We start from the raw sequence: 12,238 nt of genomic DNA, 5'->3' as shown, positions 1-12,238 counted from the left end.
TATCCTATAACTGACATTCTGTCATGCAAAAGATATAGATAATGAACAACATGTACTTACATTCAAGGTCTGACTTCTAAGTAGGTTTGATGGTCAGCCTCCTGAAAGAACACAGGAATAATGGAGAAATAAGTGTGAGCCCACTCTGTATTCACCTGTTTGGGACTCAGGGTTATAGAGGACCCCTCTAAGGTCATAGATGATCACAAAATGCTAGAATGGAGGCTTCATGAGAGAGCCTGCTCCTTTCTATGGGAAGAGTCACACACATCATCCAGGTGAGGCTTGACAGAACCGGCCTCTATCAGTGCAGGACTCACGTGCCTCCAGCCACTTCATCTCATGCTGAGCTTTCAGGTTCCTAGAGGGAGAGCAGAATGGAGAAACAGGTGTTCAGCCTCACTCTTGATCCCTATCAGCAACAGCCACTGCCTCCCCACCCCACCCGCCACCCCAGGGTTCGGCAGACGGTTCCTGATGCTGCTGTAATGAATGTCAGTTTGGGTTAAAACACCCCAGAAGCCACAGAGGGAGGGAATCCTTCTAACCATCATCCTCCAGCAGGCTCAGTGAAGTGGAACCACAGAACAATTCCATCTTCTGCCTCTTTGGTACCGTCCCCAAGCTATGTAAAATATAAACAAAATAGAACAAAGCTATTCATCTTTGATGGAGAAGATTTGCTCAAAGTTTAGAGGACCTGGTTTCTCAGCATCCAGAAAGCCGAAAATATTTACTATCTGCCCTTCCGTGAAATTTGCTGCCCCTATAAGAAAATCCCAGGTAAATGAATCCAAATAGCTTTATCTTCAGGAACTTCCTAGGCTATAAAAGGTTAAGGCAGAGTTTGAATGGAGAACTCAAAGCTAGCACATTTTTGTTAATCTTTGTGGTTTTGTCTATGGGAATTTAATTTATGTATTTTTGGATTATATGTTAGGTGGTCCTCTAGTCATAAAATTAAATGACTAAATTTTTTTTTCAAAGATCTTTAGAGAATGACTTTGTTCACTTTAGAGATTATCAAGGAAGCTTGCAATGTCTATTCTTTTGCTGACACCTCTTAAGACTGGTTGAGGCTGCAATAACAATGCTTTGCAAAACAGGAATTCGCCATTGCAAACATGTGATATGCACACTCCCAAATAGACATAAGGAAGCAGAGCCGATTTTTTATTGTGCTCCATGAAATGTCAGCAACTCCTGCTAACTTTTAGCACTATGTGAGAATGTGACTAGTGAGAAGAACTAACTAGATGAATCTGTGTTTATGGAAAATCACACATGAGAACAGTATGTGAGGTTTCCACATAATGCCACACATTGTTAGGTGAAGCTGCTTTAAGATCATTAAAAAACCAGTGTTGCATACTGACACAATGGAATAAAACTCTGCAGCAATGAGAACGAGCAGCCCACAGTGTAAACGATTATGCAGGTGCATCTCATGAAGGTGATGCTATGCTCAAGAGGCCAGACATAGACAAAGCGCATGTTGCATGACTCTAACTACATAAAGTACAGAAATGGGCAGAAAGCTCTTGGAAATTAAGATATGGCCACACACGGGGGTGGCTGTGACTGGAAGGGGCTTGAGGGGATTCCAGGGTCTTGATCTGGATGTTGGTTGCATGGTTGTCTTCAGTTCATACATTTCATCGAGCTCTACACTTTATGATGTATAAACTTTTCAGAATGCATATTATATTTTTAACCTTTAAAAACGTAAAAGAGGCCAGGCGCGGTGGCTCACGCCTGTAATCCCAGCACTTTGGGAGGCCGAGGCAGATGGATCATGAGGTCAGGAGTTTGAGACCAGCCTGGCCAACGTAGTGAAACCCCATCTCTACTAAAAATACAAAAATTAGCCAGGCGTGGTGGCAGGCGCCTGTAGTCCCAGCTACTCTGGAGGCTGAGGCAGAAGACTCGCTTGAACCTGGGAGGCAGAGGTTGCAGTGAGCCGAGATGGTGCCACTGCACTCCAGCTTGGGCAACAGAGCAAGACTCTGTCTCAAAAAAAAAAAAAGTAAAAGAAATTAGAACTGGATCCATCCAGGCTCTGTTGAGCATATGACAAATATAAAATCACAAGCGAGAACAAATATTTAGAAGCGATTTTACCCTTGCCACCTGAGCTGCGGGGAAATAACGCTGGATCCCCCTGAGTAACATGGAGCCAATGCAGGTGTGCCCTTACTGCCTGGCTCTGGGGAAAGCAGGGAAGGGTTTCAGCTCTGGTGGGACAAAATGACCACAAGGGAAGCCAGAAGAAAACCAGGCCTCTGGATGCCCCTGACCTTGCAGGTGAGGGTAAAGGTAGCATGCAAGTAAACATTCAAGGCTTAGTGTCTTCCTTGCCTCTTGCCCGGACTTTTCCGAGCCTATTTCAGTTATTGATGCCAGCTTCATGGACTGAGGAGCCATATTATTTCACGGCAATTGAGAGAGGAAGTATTCATGAAGATTATAAGCCTATGGATATTCCAGCTCTGATAGTCTCTCCACGAAGCAGAACATTCACCGTGCTAGTCGTCAGCAGTGACGAGACACCCCTGGATGTGGGTGTGTGGGCAGCCTTTCCAGGGGTAACCCGATGATGCAGCTCTGAGTGGTGTGTGCAGCGGTGGCTGACTCCAGACCAGGACTTATCCGCAAGGCTGCTGTTGTGCTCTTTTTTGGTGGTACCTGGAGATGGTCCCCAATGGAGAAGTTAGAGGTTCTCAAAAATCCCAGGAGGTAAAACCTTCTTTTCCAAGAAGAAATGGTAGGGAACACCTAAAGAGAGTTTCAGCGATGCATCTCAGTCTCAGTCCGCACAGCTCCAGGTTGCTGAGGAGGGCAGGAAAAATACATGAGTGGACATTAAAATAAAATGGAAGGAAATTCCAAGACTTCAAAATGGAGAGAAAGAAACTGAGCTTCTCTTTGGGATCTTGAATGACTTAAATAATGGCATCAATTGAAACTGTCTGTGCTGGATCACATAGTGTCCCACAAAAATCCAGGTACCACTGGAACCTCGGAATGTGACCTTATTTAGAAACAGGGTCTTTGCAGCTAAGTGAGTTCACACTGGACTATGATGGGCCCTAAATCCAATCCGACTGGTGTCCTTATAAAAAATTTAAAAAGTGGAAAACACATGTGAAGGCTGGCAGAGGTTGGGGGATGTGGCTGCAAGCAAGGAAAAGCATAGATTGCCGGGAGCCACCGGCAGCTATGAGACGAAGTCCTTCCCAAGACCCTTCAGAGCGAACACAGCCCTGCTGACCCTGCACTTTAGATCTCTGGTTCCAGAACCGCGACAGCATGGATTTCTGGGGTTTTAAACTCCCCAGGTTGTGGTGTTTGTCACAGCAGCCACAGGCAACTAGTGACCTTGTCTTTGGAGACTTGCATGACTGGACATGAGAAGAGGTGGTAGAAATGGCTGTTGTGTACTCAGGGAGCATCTCACAGCACTCAGAGCATTACATGAAGATATTGGCTCCCTAGGAAGAACAACAAACCAATATTTACAATTTTATTTTTATTTAGAGCTGCTAAGGCCATCAAATCCGGATAAGAAATTTATGTCTGGCTGGTGCAGTGACTCAGGCCTATAATCCCAGCACTTTGGGAGGCTGAGGTGAAAGGATTGCTTAAACCCAGAAGTTCCAGACCAGCTTGGGCAACATCGTGAGACCCTCATCTCTATAAAGAAATTTTTTGAAAGCCAAATGTCATGGCTCACACCTGTGGTCCCAACTACTCAGGAGGCTGAGGCACAAGGATTGCTTCAGCCCAGGAGGTCAAGGCTGCAGTGAGCTGAGATTTCACTACTATACTCCAGCCTGAGTGACAGAACAAGACACTGTATTTAAGAAAAAAAAAAAAAGTCTGATGCACCTGTGGTTAAACATTCTGAACTTAGGCAGTCTAATTGGAAAGCCACAAATCAATGACTCCTAGGCTTAGACTTCTTGTTGTGAGAAACAGACAGCCAAGAGTGTGGAACGTGCTCCTGGTGCACAGCCAACTACTGTCCCAGCTGAACCCACCTGGACTAAGGGACATCCTCCATTTTCAATCACTATGAAGAAAATATTTCTCATTGTGCAGTTGTTTTGTTAGATCATTCTGATGCCCCTCTCAGGTTAATGAAGCAGGTGAAAGATTCATCGGCCTGTTTTGAGCCTGCTGGGAATACTTACATCTGAAATAAATGTCAGCAGACTCAACTCAAATGTGGCATTTCTTGCCCGTGTTTACAATGCCTCTAATAGAGATATTCACTTTCTCCCTTGTTTTCTGGTGTTAGAGTTAGAACACCAAATGTTCATGCAGCTCTGCTTTGCAGAGATTCACAAACCTCAACCAAAATGGCCCATTAACTAAGGGAGAAACCCCAGGTCTACACAGCTCAGTGCTAGATGCTTGGGACAGGACCATCATACACCTGCTTCCACACCAACGGCAGGAATAAGGAAGTGAGTAACCCCAGACCTCCGAATACTCCAGGAAAGACCCCTCCTCTAGTTCCCCACCTCCCTCAGTGCTTCACCAGCACCACTTGCCTTGAGTCCCTCTGGAATAATTGTATTTTACTGTGTAGTCCTGTTGATAGAACTCTCCAAGAAGCTCGGGAGTCCCGATTCCTCATTCCCCAGACTCGCCTCCCCAAACCATCCAAGCACCTCCCTTTCTCATGCCTCTGCCCAACGTTCCTGGTTCCTAGGCCTGTCCGTTGTGTCCTCGGCAGACCACATCATCCACAGCAATATCCTACCTCATGACATTTCTCTCTAAACGCCCTGCACTTTCTTGCTATAAGTGAAGCAGGGTCTTCCCCAAGACAGCTGCTTCATTGCCTTCGCCAGGGGTGGATGCAGTAAGGGTCCTCACTGTCCCTCTCCCCCTACCCTGGTGCTCTCGAGCCGGTAGGAGGAGTAGAGGTCCTCATAGCCCCTTTTTCCACTTCTAGATGTTACAGCTTTTCTCTGTTCTGAAGACCCTCAAGGTTAACCGTCATACCCACCTCCCCCGCTTTCTCATGGTAATTGTCTGCTGCTCCCAGGCCAGGTCTCTGCCAATCCTAGAATGAGCTCCTGTCACTGCCACTCCCCACACCATTTCTGCCATAATCTGTGATTTTCACGTCAATGTACATGATCCTTCCAAAATCCTGGCATTTTTTATTTATTCTCTTTTGACAGCCTTTCCCCTAGGCTAACTCCACCACTGGTTCCCATGACGATGGAGTTGCTAAAAACTACATCCCAGTAAATACTCCACACCTCGGTGTGTCCAGTGCCCCGGCTTCCTTAGTGATTTGGTCCCCTGAGCCCCACAGTTTATCCTAAAACCTTTGCGCTGCCCCCTCCCTCCGCCATCCTCACTTCCCTCCATCCCCAGCTGACTTGCCATGGCCGTCATTCCCTCGCTCAGATGCTCAACTCCACCCATGGCCTTTTTACCTCCTTCCCGCTGTCCGGGCCCCAACTCTATTGCTCTACACGACTTTCGCATTGCTAAACAAATCAGGAGAAAAGCATGTCGCCTGGCTAAGTGAACTCACTTCAATCTCTGATCACCGATTTCAGATGTGCCCTCAGCATTGTATGGCAACACACGACACTCCATCACTCTTTCGTAGTGTGGCCTCCCCACCTCGGCGTTGTTGGCACTTTGTCCCAGGGGCCCTGCTGTGCGGGCTGCCCTGTGCGTTGTGGGATATTGAAACGCATCTCTGGCCTCTGCTCACCCAAGGCCAGTATCATTTTTTCTTCCCCAAGTTGTACAACCACAAATGTCTCCAGACACTGCCCAATGTCCCAAGGGGAGCAAAATCGCCCGCATTTGAAGACTATCTACTTCCAACACCTCTTTCCTCATTGTCACTCTCAGCTGGTTCCTGTAGCTGGTATTTTATTAAGAAAATTGACAAAACCCAGTCTCTACTAAAAGTACAAAAATTAGCTGGGCTTGGTGGCAGGCGTCTGTAATCCCAGCTACTCAGGAGGCTGAGGCAAGAGAATCGCTTGAACTTGGGAGGCGCAGTTGCAGGGAGCCAAGATTGCACCACTGCACTCCAGCCTGTGCAACAAGAGGGAGACTCTATCACAAAAAAAAAAAAAAAAAAAAAAGATTGGTTCATACACTCGAAAACATCTTCAATCTCCCACTGTCCAATTGACTCATCTGCAGCTGTTACCTTATTCTCGCTTTCTCTCTTTTCATTCTTTAGGACGCAGTCATGCACCCATTTAAATTCAACTCCCTCATGTGGGCGCTAGAACACAAGGACTTTCTTCCAGAAACTCTGCCTTCCCATGGGCCTCACCTGTTTTCCCTTTATCCTGGGTCGTGTGCATCAGCTTACAAATGTCGTTTAACTTTTTCCACCTTCTCAAAAATCCTTTTGATTCTATAACCCCTGCAGATGTCATCATTTTTTCTATGCTTTTCCTCAAGAAAAGTGTCACCCCTGAGAGTTTTCTAACCCACTTTCTCCAGTTCTCTTCCCTTGTCTTCGGAATTGCACTGCCTTCATGGAGTTTACAAGTCATCCTCTCAACCCAATGATACGTCCTGCTTATTGTTATCTCAGTGGCTTTTTCTGAGCCAATCACATCCTCCTGGAAACACTTTTCTATTTGGTTTCCGGGATGCAACAGTCTCCTTGATTTTCTCTTACCTCACTCGTTCCTGATTCTCAATTATTTTTGCTGGTTTTTCTTTATCTCTCCATATTGTAAAGTTTGCAGTGCCCCAGAGCATGTGTTCTGAATTTATCGTCTTCTCTCGATACCCTCACTCCTCTGTTGATAGCATGAGGTCCACGGCTCTGAATAGGTCTACAGCATGGTGCTCACAAAGGTGCGTCTCCTCCCCACAACACCCTCCTGGACTCCGGTCTCACACATCCGTGTATCTACTCAAAGTGTTTTATCTGCTGTCTAGCAGGCATCTCTACATAAACACTTGAAATCCAAATTTGCTTTTCCTCTCATTTTCCCCATATCAGTCAATGGCAGCTGCATCATCAGACCAGTCACCATAGCCTCATCGTTGAATCCTCTTTTCCTCATCTTCTGTATCCTATCTTTCATCAAATTTGTTAGCTCCTGCTTCAAAATGTGTAATTAATTAATATTCATTGTTATTGCTTGTCTCCAACTACTACAAGTGAGCTCCATGGAGGGCAGAGATGTTACTCATTTTGTTCACTGATGTATTGGCAACAGCAGATGTTTAATAAATACTTGCTACGTTAACAAATAGATGAATGAAAGCATAGTTGGCCTCCTAGGGGGTATTGCTGCTACTTGTTTTAAAACGGAAAAGCATCATCTTAAGCCCCACTCCTAGGAATGACTACAGGTGCGATGCTTCTCCTGTTCTGGGAAACAGGATAAAATTGTCAGTGTCCCAGAGAATAAAGATGAGACAGATGGTATGAAAAACTCATCAATCCATACGAATGGTACACAATCTTTATGTGTTTGTCTTTAATTTTTTTTAAAATATTTGCAGTCCCAGATTACCCATTGCCTAGAAGAAACAGTACTAATAAGATAAAAGTCTCATTCTAGGAGTAGAATGTTGATAATGCAACAATTCCTATAGATATTCTGAAGAACCATATGATGTATTGGAGAAAGTATATATGAATATGCCTTATGTCAAACACCCCCACTCTTGTGAGTATATCTCAGAATAAATCTTGCTCAATTTTATAAAAGGGATATCAAGACTTACTATAAAGCTGTAGTAATTTCAAAAGAGTGATAGTGGCGAGAATTTAGACAACACTGCCAGCAAAACAACAAATGAAAAAGTGACTGAAAAAGTAACCAAGTGTAGGAGAATATGTTTGCAATACACATTTCCAGAAAAGGATTTGTATCGTAAATACATGAGATACCCCTTAACTGAATGAGGAAAAATAGATAAATATGAGAAAAATGAATTTTTAAAAACTGAACTGACTTCAAAAAAGATGACAACAAATGGTCAATGAAATATTAAAAGGTGCACAGCTTTATCCATCTTCAAGGGCAGGAGAAGGGGAATGGTTAGCCAAAGGGCACCAAGTTTCTCTTAGACAAAGAGGAAAGAGGAATATGTTTTTGTAATCTATTGCACAGCGTGCTGACCATAGTTAATAAAAATGTATTGCATTTTACAAGATGGCTAAAGGGTAGCTTCTAAACACACTCATCACAAAAAATGATAAGTGAGGTGATAGGTATGTTAATTGGCTTGCTTTACTCTTTCTACAGTGGATACATATAACAAAACACATAGCGTATCCCATAAATATATATGATTATTATTTGTCAACCAGAATTTTTAAAAAGAAAATGTAAATTAAATCCATAAAGTGACACCACTATACACTCATAAGAATGGCCAAAATAAAAAAGTCAAAGAACTTCAAGTGTCGGCAGGCATATGGAGAAACTGGAATTCTCATGCACTGCTGGGAGAGTTTAAACTGATGCAAGTTCTTTGTAGAATTGTTTGCCTGCATATACTAAAGTTGAATATCTGAATGCCCTGTGGCCAACATTAGATGCTTAGGCACATAACCAGTGAAGATGCCTACATATGTTCACCAAAAGTCACATACAATAATGTTCACAATAGCACTCTTTTGTAGTAACTCAAAAAATAGAACTGGAACTACCTAAATGTCCATCACCAGTAGAATAAGTAAATTATAATTAGCACAAAGTAAAATACTACACAGCCTCATGCCTGTAATCCCAGCACTTTGGAGGGCCGGGGCGGGTGGATCACGAGGTCAGGAGTTCAAGACCAGCCTGGCCAAGAAGGTGAAATCCCATCTCTACTAAAACTACAAAAATTAGCCGGGCGTGTGGCGGGCGCCTGTAATTCCAGCTACTCAGGAGGCTGAGTCAGAGAATTGCTAGAAACTGGGAGGCGGAGGTTGCAGTGAGCCGAGACTGAGCAATTGCACTCCAGCCTGGGGAACAGAGCGAGGCTCCATATCAAAAAAAAAAAAAAAAAAGTACACAGCATTAGAAAAGAAGAAAGAAAACTACGGGTACATATAACAACACAGATTAAACTCACAGAAATAATGTTGCATGATGAAAAATCCAGACACAAAAGAGCAAGTAGTGTATGAATCCATTTCTATGAAATATGAAAACCTAATCAACGCAGTTTGGATAGGGTTACCCTTGCAGTGGGCCGATAACTAGAAAGACTGTCACCAGGACTTCTGTGTGGTGAAGAATGCTCTTTTCCCTTTTCTGGGTTCTGATTACACAGGCACGTTCTGTTAAAAAAAGAAATCATTGAATCATTGAGCTATAAACTTACAATATTTATGTTTTTGGCAATATATAATATTTCAGTAAAAAGTAAAAGTGAAATGTGTTTTAATTATCCATGCTCAGTTCTTGTACGTCACTGATATTTATTAAAATATGAAAATGCCGTGGAATCTAAACCTTTATTTCAAGATGACGCACGGAAGTTTCTGACCTAAAAGAAACAGTGTATGAACCAATGCAGAAACCAAGTGTAAGAACATTTTGAAACAGATTTTTTTCATCGCTCTCCAGTATAGTAGTTCTTCTCTGCCAGAGTTCTCTTTCTAAGACACTCAGTGCTCTCAAGATCAACTCATAAAAATGATTCGGTGGATAACGTTTTACCCAACATGTTTCTAAGTCACAGTAATAAGTTTCTCCTTTTCTGCAGGAGTGTCAGTAGTAAAGGAGTTTTTATACATTATTAGACAAAATATTAAAGATGCCCCCATGTCGGCGGCATGCCACATGCAGGCTTATTCTTCACGCATGTGCGTGTCCCCAGGGCCAGCTGCAACCTCTGCTCGGCAGGGTGGCCTGGGAGGCAGGACCCCCACCTCTGGAACAATGCCAGCCCTCAAGGTAACAGGTTACCCTTTCCTTGTTTTGAGAGGTGCCACCGGCAGCGCCTTCAGCTGGACTCTGCTGCTGTTAGACTGAACGTGCTGGTGTCACCGTAAGGTGGGGGCTGGGGCGGGCAGAAGGGGTGTATCCTTTTCTGATGAAGTCTCCATCTCTTAGGTCCTGATATGGTTTGGATATATGTCCCACCAAAATCTCATGTGAAATTGTGATCCCCAGTGCTGGAGGTGGGGCCTGGAGGGAGGCGTTTGGGTCACGAGGATGGATCCCTCATGGCTTGGTGCCGTCTTACCTGGTTGTTGTAGAGTGTGGCACCTCCCGGCCTCTCTTTCTTGCTCGGGGTCTCATCATGTGACTCGCTGGCTCCGCATTGCCTTCCACCATGACCAGAAGCTTCCTGAGAACTCCCTAGAAGCAGATCTGCCAGCACCAGGCTTCCTGTACGGCCTGCAGAACCATGAGCCAGTCGAATTTCTCTCCTTTATAAATCACCCAGTCTCAGGTATTTCTTTATAGCAATGCAACAAAGACCCAATACAGGGCCCCAGGGCTTGGGGTGTGGCCTTCACAATGTTCCCACCCCTCCCCCAGGGTCCCAGCCTCCCCACCCGCTGGCTTTCCTGTCTTCAGCCTCCTCGTTCTTTTCCCGAAAAGCCCCACCTCCAGCAAGGCCAGGGCAGGCTGAGTGGGGCCCTTTCTCCAGGAGGGTGCTGTTTCTGCGTGTCCTCTAGATGGGTGAGTCTCCCTTGGAGGGTAGGTCTGTGATACATAGAAGGGTATCTCTCCCCTCCCTCTCTCACAGTCATGAGGGGCTTTTTCCTGGGTCCTTGATGTGAGAACCTGGTGGGGTTTCTGCAAGGTGAGCCCCTGAATGTGAGCCCCAGGCCACCCATGGCGCAGCCCGGAGGAGCCATTTGCTCTCCGCTAATCCATTCTCCAGCCTGAGACCTTCGTCAAAGCCACAGCCCAGCATGAGGTCCTACCACGCACCATTCAGGGACTTCCACTCCAGGGAAGCAAACCTCTGGTGCCACATTTAGTTGGATCCTCCTGTTTCTTCAGATTTGGGGTGGCAGTTTGTTTTGCAAGCTCGGCTGTTTGATGGGTGTAAGGAAAGTCATTGATCTCAGTTTCCCACCTTCTCTTGTTGTCATGCAGGGAGTGTCTACCTCTGTGCCCTTTCTGCATCGGAGCTGCAACACGGGTTGAAAAGTTCGTTTGGTGGCCTAGAAATTTATTGATTCTGGTTTTGTGTCATATGCTTATCAGTTCTAACAGGCTTTATTTGGGTGGAATCTTTAAGTTCTTCTAAATATAAGATCACGTGGTCTGTAAACAAGGCTAATTTGACTTCTTCCTCTCCAATTTGGATACCCTTTATGTCTTTCTCTTGCCTAATTGCTCTGGCTAGACTTCCAGCATTATATGGAACAAAATCAGTAAAGATATAGATGACCCAAACTATCAGTCAATCAACTTGATGTAATTGACATTTATAGAATATGCCATCCTGCAACAGCAGAATATGCCATCGAGAATATCCATATAGACTCTGCCATCCAGAATATGCCATATAGAATATGCCATCCAGCAACAGCAGAATACACGTCCTTCCTATCCTCTCAAGTGTACAGGGAACATGCACCAAGACAGCTCACATTCTGATGCATAAAGTCCACCTTCACAAATAATCCGTTCCTCAGTTCACAGTGAGCACTCAAACAGAATGACTCTGACTCCTGTTTTAAGGAGCAGCAACTTCTTAGCTCCAACACCTCATCACATGTTACGAGGCCGCATTGCAAACCATCGCCATCTCTGCAATGCACACCCTATGCTCTAATGGACCTTTTAATTTTACTTGCATTATGAAAACTTGTGCAAAATGAGAATTGTGTGAATGTGGTAAGACTGTGGAAAAGAATTCCTAGTGCCCAATTCTTTGCAGAATTGCAGCAAGGGTTGCAGGTACTAACATCATCCCCTCTGTAGGATCTTCAAAACCTTGTTTTGGTCTCTAGAGAAATTGAAAAAAATAATTGTTCAGATACACATCTGAAAACAGAAAGCAACCACTTAAGAGATGATGCTCTAAGTCTCATGGTGGGAAGAAAAATGCAAGAGAATTAATTCAAATTCTCCAGGGCTCTATATACAGCATGATAATATCTCACATGTTTCTTAATGACTGAAAGGAAACAATATCACTGACTGTTCGCAGCACATAGTTGATTACAAGTGGTTTATAGTTCATGCGCGAAAGTAATGAAGAGATTATATAACAAAATCTCGCTGGAGAAAACACATTTACAGTCTTTGCCAACATTTGC

General features: G+C 44.4%; 1 long non-coding RNA gene across 2 annotated transcripts, besides 1 other annotated feature; it reads right to left on the bottom strand.

Moving 5' to 3' along the window:
• Nucleotides 1-10,340, bottom strand: LOC107985171 (uncharacterized). Of its 2 annotated transcripts, XR_001753511.2 has the most exons (4): nucleotides 10,201-10,340; nucleotides 9,082-9,289; nucleotides 2,522-2,829; nucleotides 1-361 (listed from the first exon to the last, which is right to left on the bottom strand). It is a non-coding gene; the product is annotated as an uncharacterized LOC107985171 (long non-coding RNA). The 2 variants fall into 2 exon arrangements; XR_001753510.2 differs by lacking the exon at nucleotides 1-361 and having other exon boundaries at nucleotides 2,364-2,829.
• Nucleotides 9,789-10,988: an enhancer, noted in NCBI's record as "CDK7 strongly-dependent group 2 enhancer chr18:75115171-75116370 (GRCh37/hg19 assembly coordinates)". NCBI's record gives its function as "activates an origin of replication core promoter dependent on BRD2, BRD4, P300/CBP, MED14 and CDK7 cofactors, with strong dependence on CDK7, by STARR-seq in HCT116 cells {active_cell/tissue: HCT116}" and the evidence as "EXISTENCE:reporter gene assay evidence [ECO:0000049][PMID:35650434]".

The sequence above is a fragment of the Homo sapiens genome, chromosome 18 (genome assembly GCF_000001405.40).
Source record: "Homo sapiens chromosome 18, GRCh38.p14 Primary Assembly".
NCBI lineage: Eukaryota > Metazoa > Chordata > Mammalia > Primates > Hominidae > Homo > Homo sapiens.
Note: the sequence above shows the minus strand (reverse complement) of the source record. Positions and strands in the feature narration are given on the sequence as shown.